The sequence below is a fragment of the Homo sapiens genome, chromosome 21 (genome assembly GCF_000001405.40).
Source record: "Homo sapiens chromosome 21, GRCh38.p14 Primary Assembly".
NCBI lineage: Eukaryota > Metazoa > Chordata > Mammalia > Primates > Hominidae > Homo > Homo sapiens.
In genome coordinates this window covers 29,915,641-29,935,860 of record NC_000021.9, presented here as the reverse complement: position 1 = coordinate 29,935,860, position 20,220 = coordinate 29,915,641, and the positions used below count along the sequence as shown (strand labels likewise).

The 20,220-nt window shown below is 34.6% G+C and overlaps 1 protein-coding gene across 13 annotated transcripts in view, besides 1 other annotated feature; it reads left to right on the top strand.

Annotated features, from left to right (window-relative positions):
• Nucleotides 1–20,220, top strand: part of GRIK1 (glutamate ionotropic receptor kainate type subunit 1) — a 403,064-nt gene that overhangs the window by 4,136 nt on the left and 378,708 nt on the right. The window lies entirely within an intron of this gene.
• Nucleotides 6,660–7,236: an enhancer, noted in NCBI's record as "OCT4-NANOG hESC enhancer chr21:31300943-31301519 (GRCh37/hg19 assembly coordinates)". NCBI's record gives its function as "activates a minimal SCP1, AML or CMV promoter by ChIP-STARR-seq in naive and primed H9 embryonic stem cells {active_cell/tissue: H9 hESC(naive and primed)}" and the evidence as "EXISTENCE:reporter gene assay evidence [ECO:0000049][PMID:30033119]".

Genomic DNA, 20,220 nt, shown 5'->3' with positions numbered 1-20,220 from the left:
AATATCTTTAAGCCTAAATCTCTTCATCTGTGAACTAGCAGTAATCATATCAGCCTTTCCTGTTTCACAAGGGAAGATGAAATACACTAATTTCTGTAATTTGCCAAAAAACCACCAAATAAATATGGTACTATTATGTAGTTAAGTACATCACATAAATAGAAATATTATGGAGATTTATATGAATAGTGTGGAAATCTATAGTGACAATATCATTGTTCACATGCTTTTATTTCCTTGAGAGAGGTCCAAATTTATTTTATGCCAATCATTACCTTGGCTGGAGCATCATTTTGGATATTTTAACCCAAAGATCCCCAAAGTTCCAAGTAATGTTTTTAGTTGTTCATATTTTTACATAAGTGTGTACAGACCCATGACTTTATTTTTAGGCACTTAGTTTTTTCATCATTTTAATATTCATTCTTCATTCAACAAATATTATTTGAGTTCTTACTTCCCTAGCATGAGCCAGACACACTTAGAAAATTGCAGGATGTACAACAGTGAATAAAATGGACAGCATCTGCCCCTTGAGGTTTGCATTCTGGCAATTGCAATCTATACTGCTGATGTTTTTCATCAGATTTTCCACGTGGACACATTAAAATTTTTTTCAAATACTATTCTTGAAGAGTTTTTAGTTAATGTTCTGCCACTGATCTATTACATCAGTTGCATAGTCAACTTGGAATAGGTTCTAGCTTCCAAGTGCATAGAGTGTGGAGAGTGGTGCATGATGCCAAACCTGGAAGAAACTCAGAGGAGAGTTGCCTGTGTTTAGGAAGACCTCTGTGGCTGGAGGTAGAGTCACTGAGAGAGGCACCTGTGTCTTCAAAATCATGTTGGTCCTAACATGAACTTGAAAACTCCAATGGGTGCTGGGAAAGTCTAAAGAGAAGGTATCTGATAGTGTGATATAAAAGGGAGTGCCTGACTAATATTAACATGTTGCTGAGAATGAGCAGATCTTTTCCCTTAACAATTTTACCTGTGTCATTCATCTTTGCATTTAATATTGATTTTATGGGCCTAATGTTAACATTACATAGACCTCAACTTCAGCTACTTTTCTTGTAAGGTTTGTGATCTCTGGTTTTCATTGAGATAGTGACTTTGCGTAAGTTCAGTTATTACTGGTAGAAATACCAGAAATTGAAACTAGCTATTCTGGTCTCAGGTTTTGAGCTCCTTCCATTAAATTATGCCATATTGTATATGGACTTATGTATGCCAAGTACACACAGTATAAGTGTGTGTTCAAACAATAAATAACACTTACTTTCAGTAATTTAGTTACCTGGAATAACTAAAAGCAAGAGTTCATTTCTCTTATATTTGATTTCAGCTTAGTATACACTGTATTTGTCCTAACATGAACTTGAAAACTCCAGTGGGCGCTGGAAAAATCTAGAGAGAAAGCATCTGATAGTGTTACATAAAAGGGAGTGCCTGACTAACGTTAACATGTTTCTGCAAATGAGCAGATCTTTCCCCTTTCACTGTGTGTACTAAGTGGAAATCGAATATAAGAAATTACCTCTTGCTCTTGGTTATCCAGGGTAACTAAATTACTTAAAAGTGAGTGTGATTTATATGTGAGGCAACTAGCAAAGAGAAAAACTGATATTATCAGTGGACTCTCCAGAATTTCTCTTTTGAAAGGGTTCAAATAATGCAATCAAGTTGGAGAGGAAGCCTCACTACCTACCTATGCCTAGCAAACACACTGTTTGTTGTTAGAGTGTACAATTAACTGGGATGGGTTTAGAGGAAGGATTGATGGAGATGGCGGTGGTGGTAATCTCTCAATCCTCTTTCGTTGTTTCACTGATAATTATCCATATAACATAGGAAATATTCTAAAATTTTCCAAAAGCTATTTAGACTAGAGGAAAGAGTAGTGGAGATCTCAATTCTGTTTTGTTGTTTCACTGATAATTATCCATATGTCATAGGATATATTATTTATGTTCTAAAATTTTCCAAAAGGTATTTAGACTAGAAGAAAGAGTAACGGAGGACTTCAGGGAGAAGGGGATTCATATTTCCAGCTGCCTTTTTCTAATTGACTGAAACTGAGAAGATTATTTAATTTGTTACCCTCCATTTTGTTATCTATAGAAGAGAAAATAATAATAACAAATTTATAGTTTATCATAAGGATGAAATATATCACATGTAAAATGCATGGCATACCTTCAGTCTTGAGGAAGATAACTCTCTCCCTCTCTCTCTCTCTCTATGTTAATGAACAGGGTGAGAGTTTTGTGCTCCACAATTACCTATTTGAGCAAGTAAGCATGGGGAAATGTTCTTACTTGAAGATTCATGAGGCACGTTTGTATAGTAAAGGCTTTTTGAAATTCTGCAGCAAAACAAACAAACAAACACTCTGTTTCTTTTGTCTAACCCAGTGTCTTTCACATTTTAATTATTGGAAGACCCTTATTTGAATCGTAGCTATTAATGTCCCACTCAACTCATGCTCCCCAGAGCACACTTGAGGCAACATGGGCCAGTAACACCACTGCAATTTCAGCACACACATCCAAAGTCACATGACCATACATCCTGCAGCTGCTTCATTCTAAGCCAGAGTCTGCCATTCCCAATTTCAGAACATTTTCTTAAAGGTTTAAGATTACCATGACACACGGTTACCTATGTAAAAACCTGCACATACTGCCCATGTACCCGGAACTTAACATAAAAATACAAATTAATAAAAAAAAACACTTAGTATGGTGGCAGATATTTTGCATGCTTAATAAATATTTTTTCTTTAAAAAAGGTATACTTAGATGTTTAATACTTATTGCCCTCTTTTATTTAGAAAATATTCTTAAAACCACATAATCTATTCTAAAGGTTTACCATTTTATTAGCATAAAATTTGATCTGGAGCCATTTTACTTTTCTTTTTCTCGTTTTTTTTTTTACACTAGACTTGCTTTTTAACATTGTTTTAAATTGAAAATTCATATTAGACTTAAAATATCTTTTCCAGGAATGTAATTTGTGGTAAATTAAAGGTCTATATTTACAATTTAACCTATTCTTTATTTTAAAATGCTTATCTGATTTTTTAAATGACAAATTTTCATGGCAACACAAAAGCATCCAAATTAAAAGGAATGTATTCCAACTAAATCAACTGTATTAATTTGTTATCTTGATTTACTACTGAGATCAAGTTGTATCAAATTGGAAACTCCCTACTTATTATACAGCACTGTCACTATTTTTCCAAGTAATTTATTTAAAATAATTAAATTAATTGTTTGAAATAATAAAGTAATTAGAAAAATAGTTAATCTTGGAGAGGAAAATTTTTAAAAAGGAAAGAAGTAAAAATATTTAATTTATAATCTCAGTTATGAACTACTGAAAACATTAAACTCTTTAGAATAACTTTCCCAAGTTACTTGGACAATATTTTACTTTTTTCTTATTAAAAACTTAGGAATCTTCTAAAGTACATAATGAAATCTAAGGTAAGATTAGTCACAAATTGAAATTAACAAGCAATGATATTGACTAAATAATAAGTAAACTACTGGCCACAAATTAATCTCATAGAAACACCTTCCACAGCTTGAAAAGATTTTCTTTTAGCTTTTAAAAATATTATTTGGCACATTTGTCAAGTAGAGCAGTTAAATTTGAAAGATTAGGCCATGTTGTGTCTTTTGATTAGTTGCCAGTTTACTAGTATCCTGGCAAAGCAAACATACAAAATAAAGCAATCATACAACAGCCTATCAACTGTATTGAAAATTTCTACTTATTAATGTTTCAAGAGAAGTGTGATAATGCAGATTTTTATATTAGAATTATGCCTGTGTGTTTTCATTTAACAAAAATCCAATGGTTAATTGTTATTATTACCATCAGTTATCATCAATTTGGAGACTAAGAGTTCACTACAACTTACTATTTCCCTTTAAAAATTCAAAAAAATATTAAAACATATTATTTTTTACACCAAACGAGTCAAAGAGCACAGACAATCTTAAGGCAAAACACCTATTTTATCTAATGATTGATTAAAACTCAACCTATACATGGGTTGGTACACACACACATGTATTTCCTTGCTCTGTCTGCTGAGAGGGCTTAGGAACAATGATACCCCAGTAACAATGAACACTCCTGGCACCTAGAGCTCCTCAGAAAAAATATATATTATTCTGGTGCTGGGAAGGGAGATACATAAGATGATTCTGGAGGATCTTATAGTGCTGGAAAGTAAAGAAATGCTCCCATGAGTGCATACTGATATAGATAAATGATTAAATAAATAAGTAGGGAGAATAGGCAAATCTGCTCAGCAGAAGAGCCAGGGGATCCAGGTTAGCATCAGCAGTGGTAGATTATGCTGCTAGTATTCACGCTTGATAACAGGTGATGCAAAGGGTATGTTACCTATCTGGTCTTCCTCCCCAAAGCCTAGAGCCCTACTCTACTAATGAGAAAATATCAGACAAATTCCAACAGAGTAGCATTCTGCAAAATAGCTGACCAATATTGACCAAAACCACCAAAGTCATGAAAAACAAGGAAAATCTGAAAAACTGTCACAACCAAGATAAGCCTAAGAAGATTAGTGAGAAAAATGTAATGTGCTATCCTGAATGCAATCCCGAAACAGCAACAAGAAAATGACATTAGGTAAAAACCAAGGACTCTGAATAAAGACTGACTTTACTTAATAATAATTCATTAATACTGGTTTATTAATTTTAACGCTGTACCATACTAACGTAATAATTTCAGGAGAAAGAAGATGTGGAGTACATGTGAACTTGGTACTGTATTCTCAGTTTTTCTGTAAACCTAAAGCTGTGCTAAGAAATAAAGTCTATATTTTAAAAAGATTCAACCCATGTCAAGGTTTCTTCTGTTACTGTTTCTACCTACTCTGCAGTACATAAAGATCTGCAACTGTATCAAGGGAAACAAAAAGGAAAAAGTCTCGTTCATTCCATACAACATGCTACATGGAGGGTTTTCTAAGAGTGTCCTTAAAGACAACAATATTTAATGTTGAAAAAATCATTGAAGAAATAAGCTTTATATAACAGTTGCTAATCTGATGGTCATACGTCTTCTTTAGAATTCTGCAAGGAGTTTGTAGAAAATCAGACATTAGTTGTTCCTATCCATTAGCATCTTGGTCTTCAACTATTATACTTTTTGTACTTAAATATAATTTACCGTTGAATATTGATGCAAGCATTGTAACATTCTGTCAGATGCTTTAAGTGCTGATGTCTTTAAATGAAAAGTCACAGGAAACTATTTTCACAGATTACTTTTCTTAGCAAAATTGTCTAAATATGCCTTTAAAAATCAATACTTAATTCCCAGAGGGGGAAAAAAACACTTCATAATGCAGATTGGGGAAAGGATGGTAAAAATCAAGTGTTCTTACTTTCTTTCATTGTGAGGACTCAATCATAACTTTTAAAGGTTTTCTTTTTTCCTAAATTTTAAACTTCTAAAATGTTGGATTACATACTTTAGTAATCCGTAAACAGATGTTGCATTCTGATGAACTGGCTGTGTTTATACTGTATGAGATGTTACTGTACTTTTTCTCCTAAAAATGGATTAATGAGATAGAGCCATTCTTCAAATCTAAAGGCAATATTTGCCTTTTGAATTCTGGGTAGCGCTGTTCCTTTTGTTCTTAGGAAAAATCTGAACCCTAAGGCTGTTTCCATGCATGTCCACTGAGTTGGCAAGAACCTTTATAAATGATTGTGAATCATCTAAATGTTCAACAGGAGAGAATGGTTAAGAAAATAACAGTATAATGTCATCCAGGTTTATTCATGTTGCAGCAAATGACAGGATTTCATTCTGTTTTGTGGCTGAATAGTATTCCATTGTGTATATTTACCACATTTTCTTTATCCATTCATCCGCTGATGGACACTTAGGTTGACTCTGCATCTTGGCTACTGTGGATAACGTGGCAATGAACTGAAGTGCAGATATCTCTTCAACATGCTTATTTCAATTCCCTTGGATATATACCTAGAAGTGTGATTGCTGGAGCATATGATAATTTTATTTTTAGTTTTTTAAGCAACCTACATACTGTTTTCCATAATGATTGTACTAATTTACATTCCTGCCAACAGCATGTAAGAGTTGCCTTTTCACCACATCCTCGCCAGCATTTGTTAATTTTCTTTTCTTGTCTTTTTTGATAATAGCCATTCTAACCATTCTAACTGAGGTGAGGTTACTTAAGAAATAAAGCATTCATTAAATATGATCCGTAAGAAGAAATAAGCAAAAAATGCACACAAAATAATATAGACCATAGTGTATGGTTTTACATACTTTGGATTGGGAATTTATACAGTTCATTCTTGCTTATACATGATAACTTTCAGTTAGTTCATGTGGAAAAGGGAAGTTTATTGGTTTTGTTAAGATGGTAGAATTGTGGGTGAAAGTTTTTTTTCACTTTTATTCCCATTAATGTGTTTTGTCCAGTTTAACAACGATTAGTTAAGGATAAGATTTTGTAGATTCTCGATTATTAAAGCAGACATTTGCCTGCAGATTGCCATAGTGAAAAGTGCACTGGAATGAGAGTACTTCCACTTCCGGTGGTTCTTAGCTTGGCCATGTCACATAACCTCCTAGTAAATCCAACCCTTTATCGGAGACTAGTGAGTGGTGAGCAGGTAATGGGTGCGTCTGCTGATCTCCATATCTGTAATCCCCTCTGCAGTATCTGCTTTATTTTATTGTCATTGGGATGAACTGATATGCTGCATGAAGATGTGCAGCTGTATTACATTTAACATTTATAGCCACAGCATCCAGTGTGTGGAACTTTGTTTGTTTCCCTGTAATTAATGTTAACTGGCACACATCAAAGTGAGGACCTTGATGTGGCCCCAGTGGGAGTTTCCTCGCTTTCTATTTCAAATGTAAATTATTTTGAATCTATTTTCTCTCTTCTCCCTACAGAGATAAAAGACATGAAAGGAGAGGCATTTGCTGTCATTCCTCCAGGACGTCCACTGGGGTGTAGCTTGTTCCACTAGGTCCTGGGTATCAGCCTCTAATGCACTGCATTCACTGCCCAAATCCCTGACTGAGCAGCCCCATGTGGCTCACTCTGCTGCTGCTCATCCTTCAAGACTCAGCGCATTTTCCATCTGGTCTCTCACTTAGCTGGTGCTTACCCAGCGCCTCTTTGGGGTGGAATTTGTGGCTCACACAGCAACACCCACTCCAAGTGACCTTCAAGTCCTGCTGGTTATCTCAGGCTCTTTCTGTCTAAGTATATCCTGCCTTCATCTTGGCTTTCCTGGTGGCACTTTGAATGGCCAATTGTACACTATGGTCCTCCACTCCCAGAGACCCACCTGCCTGTGGGCACAGGTTTTCTCCAGATCTAAGGGATTTTATTGTCCTCCTACCATGACTCCAGGTTTCCCAACTCGAAGGGGAAGAAAGATGGAGCTGAGTTCTTGTATTATCACATGTCTATCTCAGCCCTCAGGTTCAAGCTGTAAATACTGCTGTGGTATTTAAAGCAATGCTTTTAAAAATTAAAGCAGCAACGAAAGAAGCAACAAAAACAATAAACTTTTTAAATTTCAGTTTTCGGCTTTGCAACAGAAAGCCTAGGACATGGATGTCCAACCCTTTGAATGTGAGGATGTTTTTGCTTATCTGTGGTGGCAGATATGAAAATTATGCCCAAACTTTTTTCTTAGCTCATCAACTCTCCTTAGTGTTAATGTATTTTATGTATGGCCCAAGACAATTCATCGTCTTCCAGTGTGGCCCAGGGAAGCCAAAAGGTTGAACAACTGTGGCCTAGGATTTAGGACTAGTGTCTCTGTCTCTTTCTCTCTATGTCGTATATATATGTATATATGTATATGTGTGTATATATATGTATATGTGTGTGTATATGTATATTTTTGTTTGTTTGTTTGTTTTTGTTTTTTTTGAGACGGAGTCTTGCTCTGTCGCCCAGGCTGGAGTGCAGTGGTGCGATCTTGGCTCACTGCAACCTCCACCTCCCGGGTTCAAGTGATTCTCCTGCCTCAGCATCCTAAGTAGCTGGGACTACAGGCACATGCCACCACGCCTGGCTAATTTTTGTATTTTTAGTAGAGACGGGGTTTCACCATGTTGGCCAGGGTGGTCTCGATCTCCTGACCTCATGATCCACCTGCCTTGGCCTCCCAAAGTGCTGGGATTACAGGTGTGAGCCACCATGCCCAACCCATATTTTATATATTTGTATAAATAATATATAATATAATAAGTGTGTATATGGCTGCATTTATTACAGATTTTTCAATTTATATATATATTATAAGCATTGCATATACATATTATTAAGCATATTTATTGCATATATTATACACACTACAGCCCAAAATACTGAATATAAAACATATACTACATAGTATACATAAATTCACATATAACTATATACAAATACATATATAGTTGTGTATTATTTATTATAATTATCCTTTAGTTTATATATTACATATATATCATTACACACAGTACAACATATATTACATATCATATATAATATACGTGTATTCATAGATAAATTCATATTTATATAATAAGATTCCAATTTGCATTTTTCTCTGTCTTTTACCTATTCTACCTGGAGACAAATCATACATAAAGTTATTATTGCATTTCGAATAACTGGGCAAGGCAATGTCTGTGAGTGCTGGTGGTGTGGAGCGGGGAGGCATCAGGCCCACACAGACCATGCCAATTTGTTATGCTTTTAGGATGTTCTGAGGCTACATACAACTGAGTTTGAAATATCTGTTCTGCTTCTCATGAGAATATTCCTCTCGGTCAGATTGAACAACAGGGAACACATGCTATCATCCAGGCTCCAATTAACCTCGAAGGATTGATGATTTGCTACATCTGTGGGACATTTGTGAGAAAATAGGCAGTATGATATCACAAATAAAATTCCTTAGGGAAAAACATAATTTCATAGAAAACACAACAAAACTGTTATAAATAATTGTCCATTATTAGCTTAGCCTAAACAGTATACTCTTCTTGGAATAATAATGATAAATAAATTGTAAAGAGAAAGAAATCAGACCCAGAAATCTATTTGAACAAGCTGTAGAAGGCACATAGACTTAAATATATATGTGTATATATATATAATTTCTTATATGTATACAAAAAACTATATAAGATACATAAATAAATTAACAACAATAGTGTTCAACACGAGGCAGAGCCTTTAAAGATCCTAAAGTCCAACTTTTTCATTTCATAACTGAGAATACTAAGGCCCCAGAAGCTTAACTGAAATAAAGACTCAGTAAGCAAGCCACAATTCTTAACCTTCTTCTCAGTGCTGTTTTCTTGCAACTTTGTTTTTCTCATACAACTAATTTGAAAGGTGTTAAAAATCTATATTTGAATGAATGAGAAGTAGTAATCAACTAACAAAATTCATAAAAGCTTTAGAGTACAAAAAGCACTGGACTAATCACTGTGGTTTCTTTAAATCAGGGTGCCCGTTGTAGAGAATTTTGAGATGTGTCTTAAATGAGAGAGTGCACATGTGAAACGGAGGTGAGGCCAGAGGAATTATTATTGTAAATACTCAAATCTAGGGAAATTTTAACATCCAGGGAAAATATCAATAAAGAAATCTTAACAGAAATATGTTAAACTATACATACCTTGCAAGTTTTTTTTTTTTTTTTAGCTTTTTATGATCTAGGTATTTCTGATTAACTTATCCTACAGTTACTTGAGTGAGCAGGAATGTCTTCATCTCTAAAAGCACTCTTGGAAAAAAATAAAGTTAGCATTTACAAACGAGTGGTATATAGCTTAACAATTTAGAATAATTAGAGTCTACGGCCATTACAATTTGTATTATCCTAATTTAACTGGAAATATTTAAGTGAGTGTTATACTTTGGTTAGGCTAAGTACATGTGCATACAAGGGAAGAAGACTAAAGAGTGGTATCTGTCACTCACTTTTTGAGAACGTCATAAAAAATCAGGAAGGCAGCCCACCATTTGGGACTTTGAGATTCATAGTCTCACTCCTATATCAGATGCAAAAAGTGAGGTGGAATGTATTATTGATATGCTACTTAAAAAGACAAAATCGGTGAACAATTCCTGGAGAGTATGCTAAGTTTGCTGTACTATTCCTGAAGGCTGACCTGCCTTTTGTTTCATGTGAAGTAATCCTTCAAATCAACTTCTGGGTTTTGCAAAGTAACATTTGAGCTTTTCTTCTCCCTTCAGACTATGAAGTTTTAATTTATGTATTCACACCCTCTCTGTCATTTACTATTCATTTATTCATTCTTATATTTATAGCTTGTCTTATTCTAAAAATATTTTAAAGGCTTATAAAAATACATATATTATAATCTGATAAAATACATTAATGAGGATGGAGGTGAAGGTGAAGCAAGATTAAGGCAGGTGCGTTTCCCTGAAAAGATGCCAAAAGTGGACGAGAAAATTGTATCTGCGGCTGAATTGAGAAGGGAAACAGAACAAACTTCAGAGTTGGGAGGGTCTGGTTGCTTAAACAAATTATAGGTTTTTCAGGTTAAAAACCATGCAAGAAATTTATCCTGTGATCCTGATAAGGGGAAACAATGTGATGTTATAGATAGCATACCTACGATCAAATCAGTGGTGTGTTTCATACATTTGTTTCTTATGAAATGCTCAATACAACTCTATGACAAGGCATCACGTAGTAATAAGAACACTTCTACAAAACATCTTGGTATGGAACTGTCAAATAGTTTGGTTTGATCTAGACTTCAATTTATAGTATCTAGGGAAATGGATGGCTTGCACGTCACCTCATCATCATTCGTAATGATTGCTCCTTGAGTCTGAGCTTTTCCTGAAGGAGAGCAGCAGAAAGTTAGAGGGAAGGGGGGTTGTGATTAAATGTGCATTTCTACTTAGAGCCAGATCCATAAACATTAGAAGGTAAGAATGAGGTCCTTCTATGAAATTAAGAAACCCAAATAAGGTACCTTGTTAAATAGAAGACCACCTCACCTCTAAGAGGATGAGACGCCTGGAAGCAGAGCCAATGTTTTACTCAGAAAATTCTTGCAAATAGTTTTAAATAATGACAAGAGTCACTAAAAGGTGAAAAAAACAAAAAAGGTCGGGGGAGAATAAAATTTTTTGAGACATTAAGATTAAATACCATGTCTTTCAGGTAAATGCTAAGATAGGTAGGTTGGGAATTGCACATTGACCTCATATAGGAGCATCTGTAAACCAATAATGTGTTCAGTATAGTCTACCCACCATGGTGATTGGGTTTCAGAGCAGTTGTTCTTAACCTTTCTTACAGTAACCATAGAATAAAGCTCATGATGTCATGAGCTCAATGCTTCATAACTGCATATATATCTGTTCATCACTTCATCACAACCCTTCTTCCATCTAACCTTCTTTTTCTTTTTTTTCTTTTTTTTTTTTTTGAGCCAGTCTCACTGTGTTGCCCAGGCTGGAGTGCAGTGGCATGATCTCGGCTCACTGCAACGTCCACCTCCCGGGTTCAAGCAATTCTCTGCCTCAGTCTCCTGAGTAGCTGGGATTACAGGCGCCCGCCACCACGCCTGGCTAATTTTTGTATATTTAGTAGAGATGGCGTTTCACCACGTTGGCCAGGCTGGTCTTGAACTCCTGACCTCGTGATCCACTCATCTCGGCCTCCCAAAGTGCTGGGATTATAGGCATGAGCCACCGCGCCCGGCCTTAACCTTCTTTCATATATGAGTATATATCTCCCCACTGTTCAGATAATAATTTCCAATTTTTTGTACTCTTGTTTTCCTAAGATTTTGTATTTGGTACTTGCTTAACTATGTTTTTGTTGTTTTGTTTGTTATTAGAGTCTACTTTGCATATCTTGGTCTGGTCAGTAATAAAGCTTAAATCTTTTCTATCCCCTCTGAACCTTTCAGATACTCCTCTGTAATCCTAATCATCTCCTCTTAGAAAAGCCTATTTTATCTAACGGGACTATTGATTACATAAGGCTGAAGGGAAATAACTAAACGTTGTTTGTCAGTCTGTGTTCTGAACATCAAATTTGCCCACCTTTCTTTAGACTCCATATTTTAGAGTACTACCATGGGCTTAAGATGTAAGAACAAGCAAACAAAACCTGAAACATTGGCGTGTTTGGTTTAAGGTTTTGATCTTTGTCTGAGGTTCCTGAAAAGATGACTTTAACTTTTGTTCAATTTCTTGCCTTTTTTTCTGAGAGAAAGGAAACACTCGTTGTAACTCCATGGTATATTTCATTTCCAAACTCACACTTCTCTATTTTGAGTTCAAATTAAAGACTTCTGTCACATCTGTAAAATGCCATGCTGAGCTACAAATTGAGTTAATGATAGCTTCCTTCTACTTCATGTTTATTATTACAATGTTTTACTAGGTTTCTCTAGTTTTCTCTCTTTCAAACATTAATATGAATGTGGTACATTAGATATTATGCAGAAGTACAAATTCTCCTTTATAGCTGCCTGAGAAAAGCTTGCAACTGACATTTCGACTGAAAAGTAATATGCAGAAGTGAAAAAAGAACTTCTCTAGGGCCTTTTGAAGGAGGACAGTATCACCCTACAAGTCAATATGAGACCATCCAAATTAGCATTATATTTCATAAATCTATCTACAGCATAATTCATACTCAGTCAAAAGGAAATACAGCAAAATTCCCTGTGGAAAGACTCATTTTTGCATAACACATACACATACACATAAACACACACAAATGGCATAGAATTGTGTAAATCAGTACACAAGTCCTTTCGGGTCAAATAAAAAGAAAGAAGAAGGGTGATTGCTTTCTAGCTAGTGTAGACTTGAGAAAACCATTTTATGTTCTGCAGTCTGGTCTTATGCACCACTCCCATCTGAGATTCTTCCTGAGGAAATAAAACAGGTTCTGCAATTCTGTCTGTATCTTATCTCAAAAGTCTGCTAAAAAAAGTAACTTATTTAGAAGCATACAAATGCATGACCCAATAAAGAAAATGAAGTGTAAAAGGGCCGAGGAATACAACAGCAAAAGCTGTAAGTTTGAACTTTAGTCATTTTTAAGCAAAGTAACTGTTTTCATTTATTTTTAAATGATCATTTAAGTAAGTATACCTTTTGCCATACAAGAATTAAGAAAATTAGTTGAAAGTAAAGAAAAATGAAAAGTTCATTTAGGTTGCTTCCAATATAGATCATAATTTTTTTCTAAGATTGCTTCTTTCTGAGATTTGTAGTGTCCATCCAATGCTGTTAAATAATAAATCATTTCTGTATAATGACAAAATATATGTACATTTAATTATTAAAGGCTATGAAGAATAGAAAGGTATGCAGTTTTAAGATAATTATAAAATCAGTTTTCTTCTACCCACAGAAATTATTTTTTAACAGTGTTTGGCATTTATTGAAGAAATAAACAAATATATAGAAAACTTATTTTAAAAATAAAGATGTTAATGGTTTTATTGATTTACTTAAAAATTCAGATATTCTTTATTGGACATAAGTCATTTATTTGATACACAGGTTTATATACCATATCTTCACTGTTACTCCAAAGTAGAAGGTAGTTATATCTAATATAACCATTTTATTGATGTAGAAATTGAAGTCAGAGTTTATGAACAGAATCAGATTAATGGTGATCTTGCATGTAACCCAAGAGCGGAAAAAGGCATCTTGTGAACACATTGTCCAACTTAGTAGCTTGCATAATCTAGATTGGGATAATTGCTAATCCTTTCTTTCATCTACCTTTATTTACAAAACAATAGTATCACCCAGAAGGACTACTTTAGGATGCTATCAAAAGCAAAGGTAAATCTACTTACCTGCAAAATTATTCTTAGATTGTCTTAAAGTAATGAGCACCTAGTACCTAGGAAATGCAAGAAGTGTATTGTCAATGGTAATTTTTAAACCAAAATTTTCAGTTTACTACAACTAAATTTCCTCTAGAACCTTGTCCAATTCTATTTGTCAAGTTTTAGCGTACGTTAATTTGTATAGCAATATTAAAGTGAGCTTATGTGCAGAGAAACAAAACCAAATTCAAAAGACTTAATTAAAAACAAAGGGAACCTGAGTGAAATTTTAGATGTTAGAAGTCTGGCCTATATTTTTATTTATTTATTTGATTCGTGAAAACTCAACTTTTTCTTGAAACTTTTACTTGAGAACCAAATTCAAAAGACTTAATTAAAAACGAAGGGAACCTGAGTGAAATTCTAGATGTTATAAGTCTGGTGTATTTTTTTGTTTGTTTATTTGATTTATGAAAACTCAACTTTTACTACAGAATGATTACAGATTAAGATACTTTTTTAACCATGAGTAAAACCATTAAGAATGGCAACAATTTGAATTAATAATCTTAGTGGGCCTTGCAATGAGGACTAACATGCTGAACTGGTCTTTTCTACTGTGAAATATATTGGAAAAACCTTGCACTAGTATTTCAACAGCACCCTTTCCATTACACTTATATATTGATTTGAATCTGTCAAGGAACTCCTCTAGAACAGTTGTATGCAACTGCGAGTCATTTTTTTTTTCTTCCAGGGGACATTTGGCAATGTCTGAGGACATTTCTGTTTGTTTCTACTGTGGGAGTGGTGGAAGCTGCTACTGGCATTTAGTGGTTAGAGGTCAGGAGTGCTACTAGACATCATACAATGCACAGGGTAGCCTCCACAACAGGGAACTAACCAGCCCAGAATGCCAACAGTGCTGAGGTTGAATTTTAGGTTGGAGATTATGAACACAAACCTAGTGCAGGTTTAGTGTAGATGCTTTGGAAATCCTGCTCCAGAAGAAAATAAATAAAACCATCAATCATCTATTCTCAGATGGTATGAACGGAAGCCACATACCACGTTAGTGTTTTGCCATGAATCAGGAGGACTCATGGCAAAACACTTTTGATAACACTTCCCTTGCCCAGTGTGTATGGTGCCTCTTCTGAAAACATGTCCATCTGAAACACAAAACAGACACTACAGCAAGTTACAAAATCATGTATGCAAATGCACTTCACTCAATGGCTCTCCAAGCTTCATGAGTATCTGCTATAGGCAGGCCACTGGATACATATGAATGAGCAGGATAGACTGTCTGTTTTCATGGAGCTCATGGAAAGGCACACGGATGTGAATTAAATGATCACACAAATAAATATTTAATTCTAAACTACGACAAATATTATTAATGAGAGGGTCATGGTTCTATGAACTCCTGTAATGGGAAAAACCGACAAGGTTAAAGAAAGTCAAAGAAACTTTTGCAGGGTAAGAAGTTTGTGAGTTTATATCTGTAAAAGAAGTCATTCCTAGAAACTGACTTCAAGAAAAAGGAAAGGACTCCAACTAGGGGAACAGCATATGCAGACGTCCAAAGGTCAAAGGGCATGTGTGCTCAGTGACAATTTAGCTCTTTATTAATACCTTTTGTTAGACTGTGTGTGTACATATAGTAGCCCTTTCTAATAATGGGAAAATGAAACTATTCCTCAAGTTAAATTTACAATGTAGAACTAGTTATTTAACCAATAGCTATCTCCCCCAAAGATAAAATTTAAAACTTCTCTTTGAAGAAATAGAGAAATGAAGTAGAATGTTCTTATTATCCCCTGAGAGACTGTGAGCAAAGAAGCAGAGTAGGCAATTTCTGGGAAAAAAACATTCAAAATATTTCTCTTTGCCTAAATCTTCATTGATTCTTCTTCTATTCTGCCTCAGGGAGAGCCCTTGTTCCTGTAATGGTTTTTCTGAACCTCTCCCCTGCTCCCATTCCTTGTCAAAGAACACAGGGAATCAAAGAATGTCAGCCAGAAATGATTCAAAACTTAATTGGTTTATTTACAAATAAAAGAAATGGAGGAACAAAGAGGTCCTCACTGTTTAATATCAATTTTTAAAATAAGTACTATCCTGAAGCACGTTGGCCCCTTAAAAGGGACTGTTTTTAGCACATTAAACCTCTTCAAACCACTACGTAGGTTTATTCAACCTCATGCTTTGTAAAAGTACAGAAGTCATTTAAAAATATGGTTTTAATAATGAATCAAATGGCTGTTTCTATAATTAAATCTACTCTGTGTAGCTAGATAGACAGCAAACTCTGTTCTAGCAAACTCTTGGTTCTCCTGTAAGTCATTTAGGGAGTGCTACCTTTGCTCAGTGAAGAGTTAAGACAAAGAAAGCCTTGAATATGTTTCTCATATTCCCAAGCTCAAGAAAGTATAACCTATCCTGAACAAGTTATGTAGGTGTGTGTTTATGAACCGCCCTGAGATTCACTCTACTTACAGATTGCTGTAATACTTCTTGCAGAGAGCCTGGAATACATCCTCTGTGTGCATAGCCACTAATCTGAAATCACTCAAACCATGCTTCCGCCAACAAGAGACACTTTTCTGCAGTGACTATGATGGATATTCTCTGTTTGCCCCTCCAGATCCACTCTTCACCAGCCTCTTACCTCCGTGGACTTTTAGGAGTTGCATCACAAGTGTCTCTTGCCTTCAGGCTTCATATTGCTTTTGGCCAGTGCAAGACAACATCAGCTTGGAAGACAGGAACAGCTTGTGGCTTTGAGCTCCTTGACTCCCTTTCTATTGATTTCATGTGAGATGTTGTGGCTGAGTTCCTCCTCCAAGGGTCTTAGCTCATTTTGGGTGCCTCTCTCCTAAAGCTGCAGATGTCTCAGTGCCTCTTCTTCTTGACCCTTTACCCCTAGGATTGATACATTGCTGGTAGCTTAGAGCTGTTGCTAACTCTCAGTTATATCCCTTGCCTTCCCCTTCGCCTGTTGTACACTTATCACCTTCTCCAAATACTCTTACAGTCACCTTCTATGAATATGCCATCTGCTCTCTGCCAGAATGCTGACCTAGACAGAGGCTGGATGCAATTGGGGCTGAAATATCTCTTGACAAAACAATAAAATAATAAAGATAACATAAGTGTGCAACTTAGTTGGTGTATCAGGTATTTTCCACAATCATTTCAGTTAGGTTTTCTGTAATATACCAATTTAATAATGTGATATATGCATTGTTTCTGAACATTTATTTATTTGCTTTGCTTATTTTTCTGTTAGTTACCAGAGCATAGTATGCTTGGTAAATAAATATTGACACACACACATTTCACATTATTATGTGCTATGAAATATGCCAGAAATAGATGAGAATTGGTCGTTGCATTTAAAGATTTTCAATTTAGATAAAGGAGATATAACATATACTGGTGAATATTGAAATATTCAAGAGCCTGATTATGAACATTCTATACCTTTAAATCTCCGCTTCATATCTAAGTATGTGTAAGAACTGGGAAAATTGCACAGCCTCTCTTAGCATCAATTTTCTTGTCTGTAAAATGAGATTGGTTATGTCTACTTCGCTGGGCTTTTGAAAAGATTAGTTGAGCTTGTATATGAAAAGCGATTAGTACAGTGCTTGGGAATGTGGTTAATACTTAAGAAAAGTTAACTGCCATTATTAATGTTACTATTACTTCATTTGCATGTAATTATTTGAGATTCATAAATAAATTTGGATTTTTAAAATTTTCTTAGTAATTCTAAGTAGTAACTCCTGTCAACATTATGCCCATTTTTGAGTTGAGAGAATTTAGGAGTGAGAATAAATTATATAACCAGGTTCACATATCAAGTTTGTGACTAAACCATCACCATTTATCTATCATTTATCCATTAATCTATCTATTTATCCACTCATCTATTAGTTCATCTTTCTCTATATAATGCAGAGTTTGAATTAAAAATAATCTCTTAGTCAGGGGGGCATATTAAAGTGTGTGTGTTTTAAAGAAATCATATATTTTATTTTTTAACAGAAATTAGGTCTGTTTTGTCTGAATGGTTTGAGAAGGAAGACATGTTAAAAAGTGAAAAACATGTCTTTGGTTTCACTGATTTAACTAAAATATATAAATCACATATATAAGATGAAATACATCAGAAACTATGTATTTTGAGAACATTTCAACTATACAGTGAAAAAATGTAAATACTGGCTTAAAATATGTGGGGGTAGAACCTAGGTTTTTACAATTATTTTGGGGTCAAGTTAGAAAAAAATGCTTAGAGACCACTGTCCTCAACAATGACAGACCAATAGGGTTTTATACTCAGTTCAATGGAAAGCATTTGAAGAGTTTTAGATTGAAGAAGAGAACATTTCAATGTAAATGCTTTGCACCATAGTAGGCTTACAGCAAATCACTGTGGGATTAAATTGTGTCATTTCCTATGATCGTTCTCCTAACATCTGAATAAAAATAAAGGCACAGCATAAATTGTTATGTTTAAAATGTCAGTGATGCAGAGATTGGCATTCCTTTCTCCCTAATGCCGTAGTAAAATGGCAGCAGAAACAGTAAATACCAATGTGCAAACCTGACCAAGAAGTGAGACATGCTTAATTATTCATTTCTCTCAATTTCAGTCACAGGGCTTCATACCTCATCAAATTAGAGTAAAAAGCATATTTTAACGTTTGTCTGTTTTGCGGTGCCTGTCTTTTGTGAAAAATAAATGGCAAATCACCAAAAAGAATTTCTTCCTATCTTATGTTAAAATCCAGTCTTCATTTGGAAAGTATTTAGGTGTGCAAGCGCAAGCAAGCCAAGTGATATACTGAAAACGAAATGTCTTAAGTCTTGATGAGTTTGAACATAATGAGAAAAACATCAGAAGCATGTTGATTTCGAGAAAAACACATAAACGTCATTACTTTTTCTGGAGAGAATTGAGACTGTGATGTCTAATACCAGCTTAGTTTGTAGAATCTGTGTGTGTATGTATCTATAATGTTACATAAAAGATATATTCATGTATGTTTCATGTCATCAGTAAACAAATCTCTGTGAATACAGAAGTGTTATCCTCCTTTTAGTATGCAACTGCCTGCAATTATATCTATTTATTTTACAAGGCTGCAAACCAGGAACATTGGGTTTATGTGTATTAAACCCAGTGATATTTAAGACTTGAAATCATAATCCACTTTGGCTTTCTGAAGTGGAGACAGAGTTCTTACAAGAGATTTAGTCACAATAAGATGAATTACTATCAAGAGAACTGTTTGTTGCTTTGTCTCTACATAGTTGCTGTAGCTATTGCACTGTTTTTATTAAATAGACTCTTTTATTATCGATTATTATCTTTCTTTCCCTCCCTCCAAGCCCCTTTCAGTTAAATGTGTATGGATGGAAATTTAGAAGGTGTTATCCTCTATTTTTAAAGTAAATATAAGGATATTAAATGACTTGCTACATAGATTTCTTGATGCATTAATCTAGGTTATTAGCTTTCCTTACTAATGCTGCTGCTTCTTAAATTTTTTTTTACAGAAACAGGTTATTCTCTGGCTCCCACTTTGAGTTGTAATAGCAAAAATAACAAAAATAAGCTATCTTTTATTTAGTGTCTATTCTGTGCCCAGGGGTGTATGACATTGCATAAATAATCTCATTTCATTCTTACAACATTATAATATGGATATTAATATACTGAAACATATTTTTCCAATCTTGAACATTACTTTTCTGTGTAAATTTCAGTTTCAAGCATTCTGTGTAATTTTCTAAGTACTGCATTCATAGTAATGTTTCAAAGAAAAGAAACTAGATAACTGTAAGAAAATTGCAATAATAAACAGGAAATATAAGAACATATTTTATTAACTCAATTTGTAGTTCACCTTGGCCTTTTACAGAGTAGTTTTTGACTTTACTAAAATTATTTTTCAGTTTAGGACTGTTAAGGTGTGGGCTTGGAATATATCATGAGGTTTTAATGAGTGTTTTCTTTCTCTCTGAAAAGAGTAAGACATGCTAGAATGTTGAAAAATAATTTTCAGGATCCACAGATAAACAAAGAGGGGATCTGGATTAAACCACAATTTTGTGCTAGGTTTTTGGGCTGGGCACTTCATATATATGACACATTTAATTGTCACAGAGCCACTGGGGGTAACACTATTGCATTTCAGAAAGGTTAAGTAACTTGCTTATAAGCTTCTGTGGAACTGTACCATGATTTAAACTCAGGCAGAGACTCAGATCCTATGGTGGTGACATTTGTTTTTATTTCTG